This window comes from Homo sapiens, chromosome 6, assembly GCF_000001405.40.
Source record: "Homo sapiens chromosome 6, GRCh38.p14 Primary Assembly".
Taxonomy (NCBI): Eukaryota; Metazoa; Chordata; class Mammalia; order Primates; family Hominidae; genus Homo; species Homo sapiens.
The window spans coordinates 63,329,154-63,352,778 of record NC_000006.12 but is presented as its reverse complement, the minus strand read 5'-3'; the positions used below and the strand labels follow the sequence as shown (position 1 = coordinate 63,352,778).

Below are 23,625 nucleotides of genomic sequence, written 5' to 3'. Positions count from 1 at the left end.
ACAAAATTCTATCCCTTTGTTTGAGAGACAGATGAACAGTCTCTAACATAACCCACAAATAAAACTGTGTGTCTGTGTGTGTGTGTGTGTGTGTGTCTGTGTGTGTGTGAGAGAGAGAGAGAGGAAGAGAGAGAGAGAGAGACAGACTGGAGTGCGGTGGTGTGATCATGGCTCAGTGAAGCCTTGATGTCCCAGGTTCAAGCAATCTTCCCGCCTCAGCCTCTTAAGTAGCTGGGACCACAGGCATGTACCACCACACCTGGTGAATTTTCGTATTTTTTGTAGAGATGGAGACTCTCTATATTGCCAGAGCTGGTCCCGAAATTCTTGGTTCAAGCAATCCTGCCTCAGCCTCCCAAAGTGCTGGGATTCTAGGCGTTAGTCACTACACCTGGCCAAACAAAACATTTTTAAGATTATTGATCTTAGTGGAGTCCTTGTGATAAGGCATAAGCATGACATTCCAAAATAGAAAGAATACAAAACAATGGATTTGCGCATAAATATCTCTACTAACATGTGAGTTTTGGAAAATTCCCTATTTCATGAATCATTAGCTTGTAAGTTTTGTTTTGATGTTATACAAGCATTTCTAAAACAAGTCTGTGTAGATGTTGCCACCTACTGTTTGCCTAGAAACATCCTTCATATAATTCATTTCATGTAACAATAGTCTTTTTTCTAATTGCATTTATTTTCCAGGAAGGTCATTTCTGTCTCAACCATTTCTTGTTTTAAAATTATTTGTCTATTTGTTACTTACTCTTAAGTACCATATCTACGAGGTCATTACAAGAAATTCTTTCTTTATACATTGGAAAATCCTGAGGCAATGACACAATTTTCTTTAAATGTTCTCTGATATATTGAAACAGTAAATCAGTCTCAGGTTTAAAAAGACTATACAGTATATGTCATTGAAACATCATTTAAAAAATTATTAGTCTCCATGTAAATCAAAGTGGTCAAGATCATTAGATTGCTGTTAGTTTTATTTTGACATTCATATTTAAGATATTTAGGCTGAGTGTGGAGGCTCATATCTGTAATCTTAGCCCTTTGGGAGGCCGAGGTGGGTGGTTCACTTGAGGCTAGGAATTCGAGACCAGAGTGGCCAACATAGGAAGACCCCGTCTCTACTAAAAATACAAAAAATTAGCCTGGCATGGTGGCGGGCACCTGTAATCCCAGCTGCTTGAAGCTGAGGCACAAGAATCACTTGAACCTGGGAGGCAGAGGTTGCAGTGAGCTGAAATCGCACCACTACACTCCAGCCTAGGTGGCAGAGTGAGACTCTGTCTCTGTTTCTGTCTCTCTTTCTCTGTCTCTCTCTCTCTCTCTCTTCCTCTCTCTCTCTCTCTCACACACACAGACACACACAGACACACATACACACACACACACAGAGATATTTATAAAGCAAATATCTGCTTTTTTTCCTTCCTTTTGTCTTAATCTTTTCAGGCTGCTATTAGAAAGCACCATAAACTGGGTGGCAGATAAATATCAGAAATGTATTTCTCACAGTTCTGAAGTTTGAGAAGTCCCAGAACAAGACACTGGTAGCTTTGGTGTCTGGTGAGGGTCTGCTTCCTCACAGACAGGGTTTTCTCACAGTAACCTCACATGGTAGAAATGGGAAGGGATCTTTCTGGGGTCTCTTTTATAAAGACACTAATCCCATTTGTGAGGGTTCCATTCTGATAACCTAATCGCCTCTCAAAGGACCCACCTCTTATGTTAACCTTGGGGGTTAACATTTCCACATATGAATTTGGGTGGAAGAGACACAAATATTCAGAATATAGCACTGTAAATAGTTTTGGATGTTAGTGATTGAATGGCAAATTCTTTTTTATTAGGATAAAAAACCAATTGTTTTACTTACCAATTGGTCGTCTGAACTCGTTTTTGTTTGTTTGTTTTTTTTTTTTTAGATGGCTCTGTGGCCCAGGCTGGAGTGAAGTGGCACCATCTCAGCTCACCGTAACCTCTGCCCCACAGGTTCAAGTGATTCTCTTGCCTCAGCCTCCTGAATAGCTGAGATTACAGGTGTGCGCTGCCATGTCCAGCTAATTTTTGTATTTTTAGTAGAGAGAGCGTTTCACCATGTTGGCCAGGCTGGTCTGGAACTTCTGACCTCAGGTGATCCACCCACCTTGGCCTCCCAAAGTGCTGGGATTATAGGCGTGAGCCACCACCCCTGGCCTGAACTGTTTACTTTGTAGTTAGTTTTATGATGTGCCTGTGGCACTATTTTCAGTATGCTGTTTATTAAAACTGGAAATAAAGTAAAAAATTTTAAATCTTCACAACCAGGTTAATTTGAATGCACTGAGATAATTTATGGTTTGCAGACAAATAACTATGACTAGATCCAGTAATAATTATAATTACAAATCTGTAAAATATTTTCCAGTTTGTGAAGTCCTTTGTATATTTTAATAAATTTGGTCCTACTAACAACCCTGTGAAATAATTAATATAGTAATTGCTTTCATATTATAACCAAAGAAAGAATGAAAGAAATCAAGGTAATAATTGAATAGAACACAGCTAGAATAACTCTATAAATCCAGTTTTCTTAACTAAAAAGCTTACTCACTTTTACCATTCCTCATGAGTTAATTATTAGGTTGGTGCAAAAGTATTTGCGGTTTTTGCTAATTACTTCTGCACCAACCTTAATAATTTACATGATAGGTACTGAACTCTTTTTCAACTTTTCCTTGTTGAATGAATAGTTTTAAAATGCTTTCAAATAATCAAACATTCTTCTAAATCTTTGGGTAGGTCTCTAATAACTGAAATGGAACTATATTCATCTTCTGTGAAGCTGGCCTGGATAAACCAGCTTATCCCTAAATGCCACCAGAATGCGTTGAGAAGTGGATTGTTCCCAGTCTCCGTAGAAGGACTCAGCCTACCCAACACCTTGATTTCAGTCTTATGATAACTTGAGCACAGAACTCAATCACGTCGTTAGTACATCTCATCTACAGAAGCTGTGCTATCATAAATTTGTGTTATTTTAAGCCCTTTTTATTGTAAGACTCTGGTTCCTGTTTCCTTGCTGGTTGTTGGCCAAGGGCACTTTCAGCTTCCAGAGGCCATCTGCATTCTTTGCCATGTGGTCCTCTCCATCTTCAAAGCCCGTGGTGGAAAAACTCTCCCTTGTCGAATTGCAATCATAGTTTGAATCTCTCCAACTTCCCTGTTGCTGACCTCTAAACACAGATTAAAGGGTTTGTGATTAGGTCAGACTTTCTTAGAATGTTTCTCAACCTTAACTGATTTGAGGCCATAGCCACATCACAAATCTTTTCACAGCAACACCTAGATTAATGTTTGATTGAATACCTAGGAGAAGGTGTTTTTGCACCAAGGGTTGGGAATTTAGGGGCCTTTTTAGAATTCTACCAACCATGTTTCTCATCAGCTACAAATATTTCCTAATTTAGCCCCCAGTCTCCAGTCTCTGCCTTAATACTCTCACAATTTACATTACAGAGTGGCTTCTTAATGAATCATTCCAAAGCACAGTTCTGATTAAGTTTATTATCTTACTTAAGTCAATAACAACAAAACAACCAAAAGTTTGAGGGCAGCCTATGGCATGTAAGAAGCTCTTTGAAAATCAAGGTCTAAAGGACTCCTGTTTCTCTTCCTTTCTTCATGCATCATTAAATTGAGTATTCACCTTGTTTTTCTGTGCACAGTAAGCTCAGTGCTTTGACTTCTGCCCCCTTTTCCTTATCTTCAACTTTACAGGAACAATTCTCGATTGCTTGAAGGCTGCATTCCAATGCTAACTCTTCCAAAGAACTTTGCATTAACTTGTTCCCCTTTGAAAGCCTTTACTACGTAGTTTTAAAAATCTATACTTCTGGCCAGGTGTGGTGGCTCATGCCTGTAATCTCAGTGCTTTAGGAAGGCGAGGCAGGAGGATTGCTTCAGGCCAAGATTTCGAGACCAGCCCGGGCAACACAGCAAGACCCCACCTCTATTTTAAAAAAGCAAAAAAAAAAAAAAAAAAAGTAAAAATCTTCATTTCTAGTGTAGTTAGTATCCTACTTTGGGTTAAGATACTAAATAATGCTCCATGACTCCTACCAAACACAGATTACTGTAGGCCAGATGTGCAATAAGATGTTGTCTCTCTTCAACATCTACTAGTGCCTTGTAGAGATGATATGTTCCAAAATATTTGTTGAGCCGTTAACTAAAAAATCAAAATAGAAACTAGAATGCCATGCGCACCAAGAGCTCGTAGACCTGCATTGTGAATGCTTAATTACATTTCCATATATTTTTTTTTTTCTTTTGAGACAGAGTCTAACTCTGTCGCCCAGGCTGGAGTGCAGTGGTGTGATCTCGGCTCACTGAAACCTCCGCCTCCTGGATTCAAGCAATTCTCCTTCCTCAGCCTCCCGAGTAGCTGGGATTACAGGCATGCGCCACAGCTCCCAGCTAATTTTTGTGTTTTTAGTAAAGACGGGGTTTTGCCATGTTGACCAGGCTGGTCTCGAACTCCTGACCTCAGGTGATCTGCCCATTTCTGCCTCCCAGTCCATACTTTTATATTAGTCTGTTCTTTCTTTTGTGGCTGCTAGTTTTCAAGGTCATTGTCTCCTGAGCTGCTGTATTTACGTTAGACTATATTCTTCAGCTCTTGGCTAATATTGAATGACTAGCTTATTTATGCTTTCTTTTGTTATAAATCAGTGGTTTTATTTGTTTTTTTCTTACTTGGAGAAAGGAGTTTCTCCTCCAATTTTAAGAAAATTTTCAAGAGCTAGAAGCAGACTTGATCTTATATCTTATTTTCTTATTCACACAATTAACCTTTTTCTAATATTAGGAATATTTCCCTACAAGTCATTCCTGACTAATGGACTCTGCTGTATGAGTCATATATGACTTAGCAAGCATTTTGGATTTTTAAATAAGTTACCGCTTATTTAAGCAGGCTGCAGAAACATTAGTCATTGTGAGATTCAGCTTACATGTTTTCACTTAGTGACTAATTGAGTATAAGAATGGAACAGATATTTACGTGGTAATTTTCCAAATTTTCAAAAGACTTTGGCATCAGTTATCTTATTTCATGAAATGTGTCACTGTAAGATAAGCAGTTCCTTATCTTAGAGACCTCTCTAGCCTTTTAAGCATACTGGAAAAAGCCATCTTGGAAAACAAATGAATGAATGAAAGAATGAATGAGTGAATGAACTGATGGAATAATGATGGATTAGAAAAGACACTGAAGCAGGAAAGTCATAGACCTTGAAATTATATGTCTGAACAGTAAATTAGACCTTATAACTTAACTGAAGAGCACAAAGAAGACCTAAATCAATAGTAAACCATATTATTATAACCCTCCAAATTGTAAAAATGTCAATTTCCCCCAAATATTTAGTTAATGCAAATTCAAAGTACTTTGGAGTTCTTTTTTTTGTTTTAAAAAAGACTGGTTTTAAAATTAATCAGTAAGGAAAAATACATAAAACTAAGAAATTTTGAAAAGAAATAATGAAGTAAGATTTGCCCCATGAATTGTTTTTCCCTCTCCTACTCACCACTCATTCTCAGTTCCTCACTTCTGACACCAGATGGGTAGGATTTATTTTTCCCCACATACTAATTCTCCAGCAAACATCAACTGGGTGTCTCTGGTGGCACAGAGCTTCCAATCCCTTGAAATTTCCTGGATGATAGGAGTGCCTCTTGTTCTAATGAGGCAACTTTTGGTGGGCATCTGAATGGAGGCTGGTAACCAGAAAGACTAAGCCATGATTTGAAGACTGGAACTTTCATACTTCGCCAGGAGATGCTACCCCTCTCAGCTTCTCCATGTGTTCAGCAGTCCATAGGTCTCCCAATTCATTGTTTAGGGATTTTTATGGAGGCTTTTTCAAGAAGGCATGACCGAGCATTAACTCAATCTCCAGCTTCTCTCCTCTTTCAAAAGGATGGTGGGGTGAGCTCGAAAGTTCCAGGCCTATAATTCAATTCAGTTCTGGTAATATCTACCTAGAGTTAGAGTCACATCCTATAGGTTAAGGGCTCAGTCTCACAGGATTGCCCCCACTTCAGAGGCCAACTGCAATCTGGGAACTTCTGACCGGCTGGCTATGAATTGGGATTCACATGACTCCCTCCTTAGGTTAAATCATTTAATCATTTACTAGAGTGGCTCACAGAACTCAGGAAAGCACTTTACTTTTTTTTGCCAGTTTATTATAAAGGATATTATAAAAGATACAGATGAACAGCCAGATGCATTAGGCAAGATATGGGGGAAGGGGTACAGAGTTTCCACGTCCTCTCCAGGGCTCAGCATCTCCATGTGTTCCGCAGTCCAGTTGCTCTCCAAACCCATTGTTCAGGGATTTTTACGGAAGCTTTTTCAAGAAGATATGATCAATTATTAACTCAATGTCCAGCTTTTCTCCTCTTTCAGGACGATGGTGGGGTGGGCTCAAAAGTTCCAGGCTTTAAATCATGACTTAGTCTTTCTGGTTACCAACCTCCATGCAGACGCCCACCAAGAGTTGCCTCATTAAAACAAGAGACACTCCTATCACCCAGGAAATTTCAAGGGATTGGGAGCTCTGTGTCAAAGACCTTATTAGAACGAAATATTCACCTAGCACCCCTATTGCTCAGGAAATTAGAAGAGTTTTAGGAGTTATGTGCCAGGAACCGGGGACAGAGACCAAATAGATATTTCCGATGTCACAATATCACAAAAGTATACTTTAAATTTTTGGTAAATAAAACAATGCAGAATTAGTGTAAATTCAACAAATGCATCAACAGAATGGAATATAGAATCCAGAAACAGACCATTTAGTTTTGAAAATTTAGTTTATGAAAAGGATGGTCTTTCAGTAAGTGGGAGAAAATTTTTAAGTAAAAGATATTGGACCAAAGAGTGTTGGTTGGCCCATTCTTTGCTGCTTCTGTGGTTATGGAACCCATGATTTCTAGCTGAACAAATGGCTGCCCACAGTAGACAATACTTCCTAATCTTTCTTGGAGTAAGGTCGCCATGTGATTAATTCTAGACCAGTGGGATGTAAGCAGAAGGTTGTAATCTTAAAGTGAGGGGCATGACCACCTAACAGGGCTTTCCTGCTGCCTGAAATGAGAACATGATATCTGCTACCTATCGTTATCTTGGCTCATATGGAAAATGCAATGGTTGTGATTGGTGGAGTAATAAGACATAAAGAAAAGGGATCTCTGACACTTCTAGTGACCTCCCAAGACAGGTCTCATCATGAAGATACTGTGTCTTTGGAATACACTACAAATCTTGAATTGCCTGTCTTTAAATTTTATTTTTGGCGGAAAATAAAATTCTAGTTAGTTTAAGCTACTATTATTTTAGATTTTCTGTTATTCCCAAATGAACCCAATCTTAGCTGACACAGATGTGAGGTTATTGAATACGCATTTAAAATTTTAAATTTACAGAAAAGTAAAAGAGAAGAAATAAAAAAGAAACCACCTTACTAAAATCTGTTAAAGAGGAAACAAAGAATTACCCAACCCAAAACATATATTTCTGAGTCTAGGTTTCATCCTTCTATTGCTAATGTTTTTAGCATTAGCATAATAATATTGCTAATAATTTTTTAAAGGAATATTTATTTTTTTTTGTGGGATAATGGTGTCAGCTCCAAAAGTGCAATTGTAAATCTCTTATTTAGGTCATAGAATTATTTTCCTTTAGAAATTAAGTTATAAACAATGATTGGGTTTCCTGTGAGCCAATGCTATAGAGGACAATGGTAGATTTTGATGAACACATAAGACTTTAAACCAAAATACTGATAGTGGTATGCATTTCTAACATAATCACATTATCACATTGTAAGTTTACAGTATTATGTGTGCTTATAGTATCTTAACTATAAATGCTATTTATTCCTTTGCCAAATATCATTCTATGAGTATTTTTTTCTGTACTACAACTTTTTGTTTTCCTTTGGGCTAATAACAGGTTTTTTTTTCTTTTTCTTTTCTATTTACTTGTCTTTCTATATACTAATAATCAATTTGGCCCTAAACTCTCAGCCAGTTGTCTAAATCTCCTCTTCATACATTCAGACCCACCAGGCATTCTTACAATGTCCACCATTCTGAAGAATCTCTCCCAGGCCTTCAGAACTGCTTTCCTCTAGAATGATTTCTCTGTGGGCCTTGTATACAGCCATCATCATGGGAACTCTTTTCACTTCTTCTATAAGTAGGATCTGTTGTTTCTTGAACTGCATGATTTCTTCTTTTTTAGTTTACTTTCTTTGTAGAGGAGCACATCTTCTAGTAACCTCCTCAGAAAGGCTTCATAATGACAATACTGTGTCTTCAGAATATCTTGGTATATCCTCACATTTGTTTGATAGTTTGACTGGATAGATAGTTTTGGATTTGAAATTGCTTTTCCTCAGAATTTCAAAAGCAACTTACATTTTCTTCTAAACTACAGCTTCGTTACTGAGAAGTCCAAGCCATGCTTATTTCTAGCCCTTTATCACTGTATTCATTTTCTACTACTGTGTAACAAGTTTACCACTAATTTAGGGACAACACCTATTTATTATCTCATAGTTCTATAACTTGGAAGTCAGGGTGAGTTTTCTTCTTTTAGGGTCTTACAAGGCCAAAACCAATGTTTTGATTTTGGGCTGGGCTGTCATATGGAGGTTATGGGGAAGAATGTATTTCCAAGCTCTTTCAGATTTTTGACCAAATGTGGCTTCCATCTGTAGGACTCAGGTCCCTGTTTCCTTGCTGGTGGTTCTCTGGGGGCTGCCCTCAGCTTCTAGAAGTTGCTGTCATTGTTTGTCATGTGGCCTCCTCTGTCTTCAAGCCAGCAATGGTTCACTGAATCCTAGTGGCTTCCTACCTCTCTGAATTTCCCTTCTGCCAGCCAGAGAAAACTGCTTTTAAAAGGCTCATGGGATATGATTAGGCCCACCCAGATAATCTTTGTATTTTAAAATCAGTGGTTTGGGATTTTAGTTGCATTAGCAAAATCCCTTCACGGCAGTACCTAGAGTAGTTTGATTAAATAACCAAAGGAAGGAAATCTTGGGGGATCTCTCTTTAGAATTCTGCCTACCACAGTAACCATTCATATTTTGCAAAAGAGCATTCCCTTTCCTAGGAAGTTCTGATACTCTTCCTTGCTGCTTGAGTAGGAATGCTCCCCATACCCTACTCATTGTCATCTGCCAGGCCTAGATTTCTACTATAGATCACATGGAGAGTGACAGGGAAGCAACTAAGGGTAGAGCAGGACTGCTTATTTATAAGTTGAAAAATTGTGAGCTGGGTAATTCCTTTTTAAACACACACATTTATTTAAGTTACATTTTTTGACTCTTCTGTTTTATAAACATATAATTCAAAGTGATAGGAACTCTTAAATGGCAGATCATATCTCAGACTCATGAAAGTAACTAGGAAATAATAAATATGTAATTGAATGCCTAATCTTTTATGGAGATTCGGGTTAAAACGTGAATAGGACTTAATTAAAAAATTATGCAAGCCTACATACTGAGTTAGCTTAGACTGTTTTCTTTCAACTATTTTATTGGTATAAAATCATAATTAACATTATTCAAACTATTATATTTATAACTCATATGAATAGGCAAGTCATTATTGCAATTAAGGAACTTGAAGACTTTTATATTAAACAAATTTTATAATGTCATTAAAACCAAGAAGTGAATCTGAAAATGTCTCATATGTTTGAGAGGAAGCAATATTTTGATCCAACAAGGAAAAACTTTCAACTCAAAAGCAGGCTGAATAAGTGAATGTAGGGGAGAGAGGAGATTGACTCCCATATGGTTAATGGTCAGTGTGACATCACTGCAGGAAACATGATTGGTGAATAAGGATTAAGGCTAAATGACACAATCAAGCTGACATAGGCTAGGGCCAGAATTTGAAAGCCTTGTGTTATATCTGAGTTTCAGTGCATGGTTCTGATCGATGTAAAAAGGGACAGTATTAATTCCTATTATTTCACGAGTAAAATTTAAAAAGCTGATCACCAAACCTTCCTATATAGAATACACTTCAGTGCTTTTAGTGAGATCTTATGAATCACACTATAATGAAATTATTGAGCAATTTTCTCTTTGGTAGTTCTTGGACACTGACGTTCAAGTTCATTTTGTTGACTGAATTTAAAAAATATGGTTCTAATATTTTCTTTATAGACATAAAGTATAACTATTTAATGTGTACTACTTGCTATGTTCATTACATTTATTGAATCATAGCATGTGTCATGACTATTTCCAACCCTCTTTTAACTATTTTAAATAATTTTTAACAGCCTTAAATAATCTATTATATGCCAATACATAAATAATAACATTTCAAGTTAAAAAATACTATTGCTTAAATCGTTTGAACTGAACTAATTCTATAATTGCATAAATAATATGTATAAATTGGGGTTCTCAGTGACAGAATCAAATTGGTTGATTTAAACAGAAAATGAAATTGTAAAGACATTGAACAGCTTGCAGAGTCATCAGGGAGCTTGGAAATGAAGAGTAACAGACTGAACTACAACCAAAAGCATGACACAGAACTGGCCTTACAAAGATACCTCTGCCACTGTACACTGGGTGATGTAGCTTGACCCATTGATATCACCCATGGGACACCATGTCTTGTGACTTGTACCATCACTACTTTTACCCCTGGAAACTAGAACTTTCAGTCACTGCTACCAGCTCTAAAATGAAATCTTCACCATCCCTGTTCCTTTGCATCCTTGCTCCTTTGACTTAGAATCCTGGTAGCTCTAAGTGGTTGAACAGAGGACACACATCTATGCTTAGATAAGGTACACAGGCTGGCTGCATTGTTAGACATTTGAGAATCTGATATTTTCTGTTTCGTTGTGATAATCAGTGTATAACTTGCACAAAGACTCTCAAGATAGGGTTTTCTTCCAATATAGGAAGGGTTTTAGATGTTAGGAAGAAAAAAAAAGGCAAAGCAAATATCCCTTTAGCCCCCACTGACATTCTCAAATGTCAATTTAGGGTTTGCAATGTCACAATGCCAGCTGGACCCTTCCTTTCCAGTGTCATAGGGGGTTCCATCACACTAGCCAATGCAGTGTCCTATATCCCAGGGAACAGGTGGACTAGCACACCAGGAAGTCTTCCCCCAGGACAAAAGGAGCCATAATGCATAATCCCCAGAGCCTGGGAGCTACCTTCCTGGGGCTGCTGCTACTGACAGCAACCCCAGCCACTCTAGAGACAGGACGGACAAGCACCTGAGCATGCTTTCAGGCATCCTGAAGACCGATCCACTCACACACATTGTTTGGGAGCGTAAGGACAGGCCTGCCTAGCCCACCACTGCCAGTGCCTACACATGTTGTTTGAAGGCTTGAGGATCAGTCCATACCACCTACAACCAGTGGTGCTCATGCATGCTGTGTGGGAGCCTGAGGATCGGCCGGCCCTGCCCACTGCCACTGCCACTGCTGGCATCCATGTGTGCCATCTAGGGGCCTGAGGATCAGCTTGCTTCTGCTGATACCTATATGCACTTCCCAGGAGCCTGAGGACTGGACTGCCTGGTGTTCCAGTTTCCAGCAGAGCCTCACTAAAGCCAACACTAACAAGTGTAGCCTAAGCCACTGAGGAACTCAGAGACACTGCTGATGTTGACTACAGTTGAAGAAATCATATGGAGACTACACTACTGCATCCACTCATAATCAAAACCAAAGCACACTACACAACCAATGCTATAGATACTTTTACAGGAAAAAAGTCTTTCGCTATAAAAACCAATCCATAAATTTGGAATAAGTGACTGTTATATCAGGTGTGCAGATAACAATGTAAAGACACACACACACACACACACACACACACAAACCATAAAAAGCAAGGGAATATGACTTTCTAAAGGAAAATAATAGTCCTGTAATAATAGATCCTAAGTAAAGGAAAACTATGAAATGCCTAAGAAATTCAAAATAATGATCTTAAGGAAACTCAGTGAGATATAAAAGATAAACCATACAAGGAAATCAGAAAAACAATTCATGATATGAATGAGAAATTCAACAAAGAGATAGATATCATTAAAAAAAAAAGCCAAACAGAAATCCTGGAAATGAAGAATTCAATGAAAGGAAAAAAAAATACAAGGGAGAGCTTCAACAATAGACTAGATCAAGCAGAAAAAAGAATTTCTGAACTTGAAGACAGGTCTGAAGTAACCCAGTCAGACAAAACAACAACAACAGAATAAAAAAGAATGAAGAAAGCCTATGTTACATGTAGGACACCAAAAGGTGGACAAATATTTAATTTTGGGAGTTTCAGAAGGAGAGGAGATGGGGAAACATGTAGAAAATCTATTTAATAATATAATAACTGAAAACTTCCCAAATCTTCAGAGAGATATAGACATCTAGATACAGGAAGCTCAAAGATCCCCAAATAGATTTAATCCCAAAAGGTCTTCTCCAAGGCACATTATAGTCAAACTATCAAAACTCAAAGAAGAATTCTAAGGACTGCAAGAGAAAAGCGTCAAGTCACACATAAGGGAATTCTCATCAGACCAGCAGCATATTTCTCAGTATATATCTTATAGGCCAGGAGGAAATGAGTTGATATATTCAAAGTGCTGAAAGAAAAAAAAACACCCTGCTAGTTAAGAAGAATACTATAACCAGTACAGCTATCTTTTTTTCAGAAAATGAGGAGAAGTAAAGTCTTTATAAGAAAAGCAAAAACTGAGGGAATTAATCACTGTTAGAGGGGATCTACAAAAAAAGCTTATGGGAGTCCTACATCTGGAAGCAAATAAATGCTATCTGACATCATGAAAACACATGAGAATATAAAAGTTACTGGTAGAGCACATACACAAATGAGAGAGAGAAACAAATCAAGTTATCATTACAGAAAACCACCAAATCATAAAAGTAAACAATAAAAGAGGAAGAAAGGAACAAAAGATATACAAAATAATCAGAAAACAACATAATGACAGGAGCAAGTCCTCACCTATTGATAACAATCTTGATTATAAATGGTTTAAATTCCCCAATTAAAAGATACAGACTGGCTGAATAGATGGAAAAAAACCAAGACTGAACTATATGATACCTACAAGAAACTCACTTCGCCTGTGAAGACACACATACACTGAAAGCGAAGGGAAGGAAAAGAATATTCCATGCAAATGGAAGACAAAGCATGCAGGAGTAGCTATACTTATGTCGGACAAATTAGATTCTACATAAAAAACAACAACAATGAAAAGACAAAGATCATTATATAATGATAAAAGGATCAATTCAGCAAGAGCATATATCAATTGTAAATATATGTGCGCTCAATATAGGAGCACACAGATAGGTAAAGCAAAGATTATTAGCACTAAAGAGAGATTAAACTCCAATACAATTACAGTTAGGAACTTCAATATCCCATTTTCAACTTTGGAGAAATCATCCAGATAGAAAATCAACAAAGAAACATCAGACTTAATCTGCATTATAGACCAAATGGACTTAACAGGCATTTACAGAACATTTCATCTAACAGTTACAAAATACACATTCTTCTCATCAGCACATGGAACATTCTCCAGGATAGACTATATATTAGGCCACAAAACAAGTCTCAGAAATTAAAACAAAGTCAATATCATATCAAGTTGCTACTCAGATAAAAATAGAATAAAACTAGAAATGAATAACAAGAGGAACTTTGAAAATGTACAGTTTTCAAATATATGGAAATTAAACACCATGCTTCTTAATAATAATTGGGTCTATGAAGACATTAAGAAGGAAATAAAAAATGATCAAAACAAATTAAAATGGAGACACAACACAACAAATCCTATGAAATACAGCAAAAGAAGTTCTAACAGGGAAATTTGTAGCAATAAATGCTGACATTACAATAGAAAGATTTCAAATAAACAACCTAAGGATGTAGAAAAGCAAGAACAAACCAAACCCAAAATTAGAAAGAAAGAAAAATAATAAATATCAGAACAGAATGAAACAAAATAGAGACTAAGAAAAGGATCAATAAAATGAAGTTTGTTTCCTGAAAAGATAAAATCAATAAACTGTTAGCTAAACTAACCAAGAAAACAAGAAAGACCCAAATAAGTAAAATTAGAAATGAAAAAGGAGCCATTACGACTGATACTACAGAAATACAAAAGATCATCAGAGACTGTTATGAAAAACCATATGCCAAAAAATTGGAAAACCTATTAAGAAATGGGTGAATTCCTGAACATATATAACCTACTAAGATTGAACTAGGAAGAAATAAAAAATCCCTGAGGTTCAGAGCTTCAGTGAGGGCCTGAAGAGCAGACAGGTGCTATGGAAGAATCTGAAATGTAGCTGTACCCCCAACCCAAACCCTACTCTTATGATCTCAATCGTGGTGATGTTAGAGTGCCTATAATGGCTTCTTATTTATTTATTTATTTATTTTTGAGATAATTTTGAACTTAAAGAAGAGTTGTCAAAATATTACAGAGTTCTGGCTGGGCACGGTGGCTCATGCCTGTAATCCCAGAACTTTGGGAGACCAAGGCAAGGTGATCACCTGAGCTCAGGAGTTTGAGAGCAGCCTGGCCAAGATGGTGAAACCTTGTCTCTACTAAAAATACAAAAATTAGCCAGGGGTGGTGGTGTGTACCTGTAATCCCAGCTACTTGGGAGGCTGAGGCAGGAGAATCACTTGAACCTGGGAGGTGGAGGTTGCAGTGAGCCAAGATTGCACCACTGCACTCCAGCCTGGGCAACAGAGCAAGACTCCATCTCAAAAGAGAAATAAATAAATACATAAATAAAATAGTACAGAGTTCTTATATAATCATCACCAAACTTTCTCTTATGTTGCATATTTTTGTTGTTTGTTTTTGAGACAGTATCTCACTCTGTTATCCAGGCTGGAGTGCAGTGGTGCAACCATGGCTCACTGCAGGCTCAACTTCCTGGGCTCAAGTGATCCTCCCATCTGAGCCTCCTGAGTAGCTAGGACCACAGGCATGTGTCACCATGCCTGGCTAAATTTTTTGTATTTTGTGTAGAGATGTAGTTTGGCCATGTTACCCTGGTTGGTCTCAAACTCCTGAGCTCAAGTGATCTACCTGCCTTGGCCTCCTAAAGTGCTGGATTACAGGTGAGAACCACCTCACCTCGTCCAAAGTCTTTTTTGTATTTATTTATTTATTTATTTTTAAAATTGAGACAGAGTCTTGCTTTTGTCTCCCAGGCTGGAGTGCAGTGGCGCTATCTTGGCTCACTGTAACCTCTACCTCGCAACCTCTGCCTCTTGGGTTCAAGTGATTTTTCATGCCTCAGTCACATGAGTAACGGGATTACAGCCCTATGCCACCATGCCTGGCTAATTTTTGTATTTTCAGTAGAGACAGGGTTTTGCCATGTTGGCCAGGCTGGCTTTTTGTATTTTAGGAAACTACATTACATTTAGAAATGTCAGGCCAGGCACAGTGGCTCACACCTGTAATCCCAGCACTTTGGGAGACCGAGGCGGGCAGATCAAGAGGTCAGGGATTTGAGACCAGCCTGGCCAACATGGTGAAACCCCGTCTCTACTAAAGATACAAAAAATTAGCCAGGCATGGTGGTGCGTGCCTGTAATCCCAGCTACTCGGGAGGCTGAGGCAGGAGAATTCCTTGAACCCAGGAGGTGGAGATTGCAGTGAGCCGAGATTGTGCCATTGCACTCCAGCCTGGGTGACAGGGTGAGACTCCATCTCAAAAAAAAAGAAAAGAAAAGAAAGGAATGTCATAATTTTTGGGGCCGGGCATGGTGGTTCACGCCTGCAATCCCAGCACTTTGGGAGGCTGAGGCGGTACTGTTGCCTGAGGTTGGGAATTCGAGTCCCTACTAAAAATACAAAAATTAGCAGGGCGTGGTAATGCACACCTGTAATCTCAGCTACTACGCGGGATGCTGAGGTGGGAGAATCGCTTGAATTTGGGAGGCAGAGGTTGCAGTGAGCCGAGATGATGCCACTGCACTCCAGCCTGGGTGACAGAACGAGAGTCCATTTCAAAAAAAAAAATCATTATTTTTTATTATTCCATATAATCTATACATAGGAACTTTATAATTTTATACATATATATATATATACACACACACACACACACACACACACACACACACACACACACAGATATTCTATAGGGAAAATGACCTTATAAATTGTATTACAATTACAGCATGGGAGTGAAGGCATGTGTGAAACTAGTAATACCATCTGAAGCATAAGTAAGTGCAGGGACTGCAGACGGGTCTCTCTGTTTTTCTTTTATTTTTATACTCTATATGTGTACATATTTATAGGCTACATGTGAATCTTTGTTACATTTATAGAATGTGTAATGATCAAATCAAGTATTTAAGGTATCAATTATCCAAGTATTTATAATTTCTGTGCGTTTAGTACATTTCAAGTCCTCTCTTCTAGCTCTTTAAAAAAATACAAAACATTGTTGTTAACTTTTAAAAAATGCGTTGTATAGTCTCACCTTACTCTACTATCAACATTATAAATTATTCCTTCTATTTAACTGTATGTTTGTATCCATTAACCCACTTCTCTTAATCCTCCCCCACTCAATCTTACCAGTTTGCGATATCTGTCTTTACCTCTATGTGATCAACTTCTTTAGCTCCCACATATGAGTGAGAATATTCAATATTTGTCTTTCTGTGTATTCCATTGTGTATGTATAGCACATTTTCTTTATCCAGTCATCTGTTGATGGACACTTAGGTTGACTTCATATCTTCTATTGTGAATAGTACTGCAATAAACATAGGAGTACATTTGTCCTTTTGATACCTTGAATTATCTTCCTTTTGAATAAATACCCAATAGTGGGATGGCTGAATTGTACGGTAGTTCTATTTTTTGATTTTTTTTTTAAGAAACTTCCATTGTGTTCTCCATAGTGGCTATATTAATTTACGTTTCCACTAACAGTGTATAAGAGTTCTTTTTTCTCCACATTCTCTTCAACATGTTATTTATTGTTTTTTTGACAATAGCCATTCTAAGTGGGGTAATAGGACATCTCATGTGATTTTGATGTGGTTTTGATTGACATTTCCCTGATGATTAGAGATGTTGAGCATTTTTTCATACACCTGTTGGCCATTTGTATGTCTCTTTTGAGAAATGTCTATTCATGTCGTTTGCCCACTTTTTAATGGCATTATTGTATTTTTTATTGTTGAGCTGTTTTTGTTGCTTGTGCTTTGGGTTTTTTACTGCTGAGTTGTTTTTGTTGCCTGTGCTTTTGAGGTTTTAGTTATAAAATCTTTGCATAGACCAATGTCTTGAAGAGTTTTTCCTATGTTTTCTTCAAGTAGTTTTATAGTTTCAGGTCTCACTTGTAAGTCTTTTACCTATTCTGAATTTATTTTTGTGTGTGGTGAGAGATAGGGGTCTAGTCTCATTCTTTGGCATACAGTCATCCAGTTTTCCCAGCACCAACTATCAAAGAGACTGTCCTTTCTTCAATGTATTTTTTTTTTTTTTTTTTTGAGATGGAGTCTCATTCTGTCATCAGGCTGGAGTGCAGTGGTGCAGTCTCGGCTCACTGCAACCTCCTCCTCCAGTAGTTCAAGTGATTCTCCTGCCTCAGCCTCCTGAATATCTGGGATTACAGGCACCTGCCACCATGCTCAGCTAGTTTTTTTTTTTGTATTTTTAGTAAAGATGGGGTTTCACCATGTTGGTCAGGCTGGTCTTCAACCCCTGACCTTGTGATCCATCCTCCTCAGCCTCCCAAAGTGCTGAGATTACAGATGTGAGCCACTGCGCCCAGCCCAATGTATTTTCTTGATGGCTTTGTTGAAGATCAGCTGGCCGTTAAGTATGCAGATTTATTTCTGGGGTTTCTATTCTGTTTCATTGGTCTATGGGTCTATTTTTATACCAGAACCATGCTGTTTTGGTTACTATACACTTGTAATATATTTTGAAGTCAGGTAGTGTGATGCCTCCAGCTTCATCCTTTTTGCTAAGAATTACTTTGGCTATTTGGGCTCATTTTCAGTTTCATAGAAATTTTAGAATTGTTTTTTCTGTTTCTATAAAAGCGACATTAATATTTTGATAGGGATTGCATTGAATATGTAGATTGCTTTGGGCAGTGTGGTCATTTTCACTGTGTTAATTTTTCCAATTCTTGAGCATGGAATTAGTCTTTCTATTTGTTTGTGTCCTCTTCAATTACTTTCATTAGTGTTTTGTAGTTTTCCTTGTAGATATCTTCTATCTAATAGGTTAAATTTATTTCTAGTTTTTTTTGTAGCTATTGTAAATGAGATTGTCTTCTTGGTTTCTTTTTCAGATATTTCAGGATTGGTGTATAGAAATGCTGCTGGTTTTTAATATGTTAATTTTGTATCTTGCAACTTTGCTGAATTTATCATTTTTGAATTTTTTTTGTAGTCTTTTAGCTTTTCTAAATGTAAGATCATGTCATCTGCAAAGGCGAACAATTTGCCTTGCTCTTTTCCAATTTGGATGCCTTTTATTTCTTTCTTTTGACTGATGCTCTGGCTAGGACTTCTAGTACTATGTTGAATATAAGTGGTTAAAATGGGCATCCTTATTTTCTTCCAGTTCTTAGAGAAAAGGCATTCAACTTTTTCCTATTTAGTAAAATGTCAGCTGGGCATTTGTTATATATGACCTTTATGATTGTGAAGTATATTTTCTACACCAAGTTTTTTGAGAGCTTTAATAATGAAGCCATGTTGAATTTTATCAAATGCTTTTTCTGCATCTATTTAAATGATCATATGGTTTTTGTTCATTCTGTTGATGTGATGTTTCATATTCATTGATATGCCTATGTTGAACCATCCTTGCACCCACAGTATAAGTCCCACTTGATTATAGTGTCTTATCTTTTTGATGTGCTGTTGGATTGAGTTTGCCAGTATTTTGTTGAGGATTTTTGAGTTTATGTTCATCAGGCATATAGACCTGTAGTTTCCCCCTTCCCCTTCCTCTTCCCTTCCCCTTCCTTTCCTTTTTCTTTTCTTTTTTTTGCCTCCCTCCCTCCCTTCCCTCCCTCCCCCCTTCCTTCCTTCCTTCCTCTCTCTCTCTCCTTCCTTCCTTTCTTTTTCTTTCTTTCGTTCTTTCATTCTTTTGTTCTTTTGTTCTTTCATTCTTTTGTTCTTTCGTTCCTTCTTTCTTTCTTCTCTCCCCCTCCCCTCTCCTCCCCTTCCCTCTTTTCTTTTCTTTTCTTTTTTTGCCTGGTTTTGGTGCCAGGGTAATGCTTGCATTGTAGAATAACTTAGGGAGAATTTCCTTCCTTTCGACTTTTTGTAAGGCTTGTTATTAGTTCTTCTGCATACATTTGGTAGAATTCAGCAGTTAATCCATCCAGTCCTCAGCTTTTTCTGTGTTGGGAGACTTCTTATTGTAAACGCACCAATCAGCGCCCTGTCAAAACAGACCACTTGGCTCTACCAGCCAGCAGGATGTAGGTGGGGCCAGATAAGAGAATAAAAGCAGGCTGCCTGAGCCAGCAGGGGGAACCCGCTCGGGTCCCCTTCCACACTGTGGAAGCTTTTTTCTTTCACTTTTTGCAATAAATCTTGCTACTGCTCACTCTTTGGGTCCACACTGCTTTTATGAGCTGTAACACTCACCGTGAAGGTCTGAAGCTTCACTCCTGAAGCCAGAGAGACCACGAGCCCACCGGGAGGAATGAACAACTCCAGATGCACCACCTTAAGAGCTGTAACACTCACCGCGAGGGTCCGTGGCTTCATTCTGGAAGTCAGTGAGACCAAGAACCCACCAATTCCGGACACATGTTGGTGACCACGAAGGGACTTTCGCCTACCGCCATGTGGTGAGACAATCGCCAAGCAGTGAGACCATTGCCTATTGCTGAGCGATGAGACCATCACCTATCACCAAGCAGTGAGTACCATCGGACCCCTTTCGATTGCTCTTCTGTCCTGTCTTTCCTTAGAATTCAGGGGCTAAATACCGGGCACCTGTCGGCCAGTGGAAAGCGACTAGCGCGGCCGCTGGACTAAAGACATGGGTGTCAGGCTTTCCAGGAAAGGGCTCTCTAACAACCCCCAACTCTTTGGAGTTGGGACCGTTGATTTGCCTAGAAACAGCTTCCTCTTTTCCTTTACTTCTGGGCTGAGCCGAGGGTTGACAGAGAGGAAAGCCATGCAGCTCTGGGGTCCCAACAACATGTTGGTTGACCCTGCGGCCATGAGCGGAACTCTCAAAGGCATGTCGCCCAAGTGAGACTCGCCCATCTATACTATCTATCCTGACCCTTGCCCCCTGGGTCCCAATGCCTGCCAGACAAACTTCCTCTCACCTCTCTTCTCTGAGGTTAGACCTGCTTCTAAAAATTGCTACCTGTCTCTAGTGCTTTTCTAGTTTCTCCTATAAGAATGATTTCTAATATAAATTCCAGGACTCTGTTACCTTCTTTAGGCACCCAGGCTCACCAATCAGAAAGACACAATTTTTGCCCAAAGCCCTGTCATAGTGGGCACTACCTGGAATTTTAGGATCCCTCCTCAGACTAATAGGCCTAACAAAAGCTATTCCTGAAGCTAGGATATGGGGAGCCTCAGAAATTGTATCCTTCCTATTCATATAAGTGAGGACAAAAGGTGTCACTCTTCCAACCCTGAAGATCCCTTCCCTCCCTCAGGGTATGGCCCTCCACTTCATTTTTGGGGCATAACATCTTTATAGGAAAGGGGTAAAATCCCAATACTAACAGGAGAATGCTTAGGACTCTAACAGGTTTTCAAGAATGCGTCGGTATGGGCCACTAAATCCGATTTTTCTTGGTCAGTCCTCCCTGTGGTCTAGGAGGACAGGCAAGGGTGCAGGTTTTCAAGGATGCATCAGTAAGGGCCACTAAATCTGACCTTCCTCGGTCCTCCATGTGGTCTGGGAGGAAAACTAATGTTTCTGCTGCTGCGTAGGTGAGTGCAGCTATTCCGATCAGCAGGGTCCAGGGACCGTTGTGGGTTCTTGGGCAGGGGTTGTTTCTGCTGCTGCGTTGGTGAGCACAACTATTCCGATCAGCAGGGTCCAGGGACCGTTGTGGATTCTTGGGCAGGGGGAGAAACAAAATAAACCAAAACCACGGGCGGTTTTGTCTTTCAGATGGGAAACACTCAGGCATCAACAGGCTCACGCTTGAAATGTATCCTAAGCCATTGGGACCAATTTGACCCACAAACCCTGAAAAAGAGGTGGCTCATTTTTTTCTGCACTACGGCTTGGCCCCAATATTCTCTCTCTGATAAGGAAAAATGGCTACCTGAGAGAAGTACAAATTACAGTACTATCCTGCAGCTTGATCTTTTCTGTAAGAGGGAAGGCAAATGGAGTGAAATACCTTATGTCCAAGCTTTCTTTTCATTGAGGGAGAATACACAACTATGCAAAGCTTGCAATTTACATCCCAGAGGAGGACCTCTCAGCTTACACCCATATCCTAGCCTCCCTGTAGCTCCCCTTCCTATTAATGATAATCCTCCTCTAATCTCCCCTGCCCAGAAGGAAATAAGCAAAGAAATCTCCAAAAGGACCACAAAACCCCCCGGGCTATCGGTTATGTCCCCTTTAAGCTGTAGGGGGAGGGGAATTTGGCCCAACTCAGGTACCTGTCCCCTTCTCCCTCTCTGATTTAAAACAGATCAAGGCAGACCTGGGGAAGTTTTCAGATGATCCTGATAGGTACATAGATGTCCTACAGGGTCTAGGGCAAACCTTTGACCTCGCTTGGAGGGATGTCATGCTACTGTTAGATCAAACCCTGGCCTTTAATGAAAAGAATGCAGCTTTAGCTGCAGCCCGAGAGTTTGGAGATACATGGTAGCTTAGTCAAGTAAATGACAGAATGACAGCTGAAGAAAGGGACAAATTCCCTACTGGTCAGCAAGCCATCCCCAGTATGGATCCTCACTGGGACCTTGACTCAGATCATGGGGACTGGAGTTGTAAACATCTGTTGACTTGTGTTCTAGAAGGACTAAGGAGAATTAGAAAAAAGCCCATTCAATGATGTCCACCATAACTCAGGGAAAGGAAGAAAATCCTTCTGCCTTCCTCAAGTGGCTATGAGAGGCCTTAAGAAAATATATTCCCCTGTCACCTGAATCACTCGAGGGTCAATTGATTCTAAAAGATAAGTTTATTACCTAATCAGCCGCAGATATCAGGAGAAAGCTCCAAAAGCAAGCCCTGAGCCTTGAACAAAATCTAGAGGCATTATTAAACCTGGCAACCTCAGTGTTCTATAATAGGGACCAAGAGGAACAGGCCCAAAAGGAAAAATGAGATCAGAGAAAGGCTGCAGCCTTAGTCATGTCCCTCAGACAAACAAATCTTGGTGGTTCAGAGAGGACAGAAAATGGAGCAGGCCAATCACTTGGTAGGGCTTATTATCAGTGTGGTTTACTAGGACACTTTAAAAAACATTGTCCAATGAGAAATAAGCTGCACCCTCGTCCATGTCCACTATGCCGAGGCAATCACTGGAAGGTGCACTGCCCCAGAGGATGAAGGTTCCCTGGGTCAGAAGCCCCAACCAGATGATCCAACAACAGGACTGAGGGTGCCTGGGGCAAGCGCCAGCTCATGTCATCACCCTCACTGAGCCCCGGGTATGTTTAACTATTGAGGGCCAGGAAATTGACTTCCTCCTGGACACTAGCGCGGCCTTCTCAGTGTTAATCTCCTGTCCTGGATGACTGTCCTCAAGGTCCATTACCATCTGAGGAATCCTGGGACAGCCTGTAACCAGGTATTTCTCCCACCTTCTCAGTTGTAATTGGGAGACTTTGCTCTTTTCACATGCCTTTCTTGTTATGCCTGAAAGTCCCACACCCTTATTAGGGAGGGATATATTAGCCAAGGCTGGAGCTATTTTCTGCATGAGTATGGGGAAAAAGTTACCCATTTGTTGTCCCCTACTTGAGGAGGAAATCAACCCTGAAGTCTGGGCATTGGAAGGAGAATCTGGAAAGGCAAAAAATGCCCGCCCAGTCCAAATCAGGTTAAAAGATCCCACAACTTTTCCTTATCAAAGGCAATATCCCTTAAGGTCTGAAGCTCATAAAGGATTACAGAATATTGTTAAACATTTGAAGGCTCAAGGCTTAGTAAGGAAATGCAGCAGTCCCTGCAACACCCCAATTCTGGGAGTACAAAAACCGAACGGTCAGTGGAGACTAGTGCAAGATCTTAGACTCATTGAGGCAGTAATTCCACTATATCCAGTTGTACCCAACCCCTATACCCTGCTCTCTCAAATACCAGAGGAAGCAGAATGGTTCATCGTTCTGGACATCAAGGATGCCTTCTTTTGTATTCCCCTGCACTCTGACTCCCAGGATCCCACAGACCACACGTCCCAACTTATGTGGACGGTCTTGCCCCAAGGGTTTAGGGATAGCCCTCATCTGTTTGGTCAGGCACTGGCCCAAGATCTAAGCTACTTCTCAAGTCCAGGCACTCTGGTCC

The 23,625-nt window shown here is 39.4% G+C and overlaps 1 protein-coding gene across 3 annotated transcripts in view, besides 2 other annotated features; it reads left to right on the top strand.

Annotated features, from left to right (window-relative positions):
• The window catches only part of LGSN (lengsin, lens protein with glutamine synthetase domain), a 297,657-nt gene that overhangs the window by 220,829 nt on the left and 53,203 nt on the right, over positions 1-23,625 (top strand). The gene's annotated exons all lie outside the window — the stretch shown is intronic.
• Positions 67-176: an enhancer, noted in NCBI's record as "active region_24712". NCBI's record gives its function as "activates an Ori minimal core promoter by ATAC-STARR-seq in GM12878 lymphoblastoid cells {active_cell/tissue: GM12878}" and the evidence as "EXISTENCE:reporter gene assay evidence [ECO:0000049][PMID:35858748]".
• Positions 4,449-5,648: an enhancer, noted in NCBI's record as "P300/CBP strongly-dependent group 1 enhancer chr6:64057036-64058235 (GRCh37/hg19 assembly coordinates)". NCBI's record gives its function as "activates an origin of replication core promoter dependent on BRD2, BRD4, P300/CBP, MED14 and CDK7 cofactors, with strong dependence on P300/CBP, by STARR-seq in HCT116 cells {active_cell/tissue: HCT116}" and the evidence as "EXISTENCE:reporter gene assay evidence [ECO:0000049][PMID:35650434]".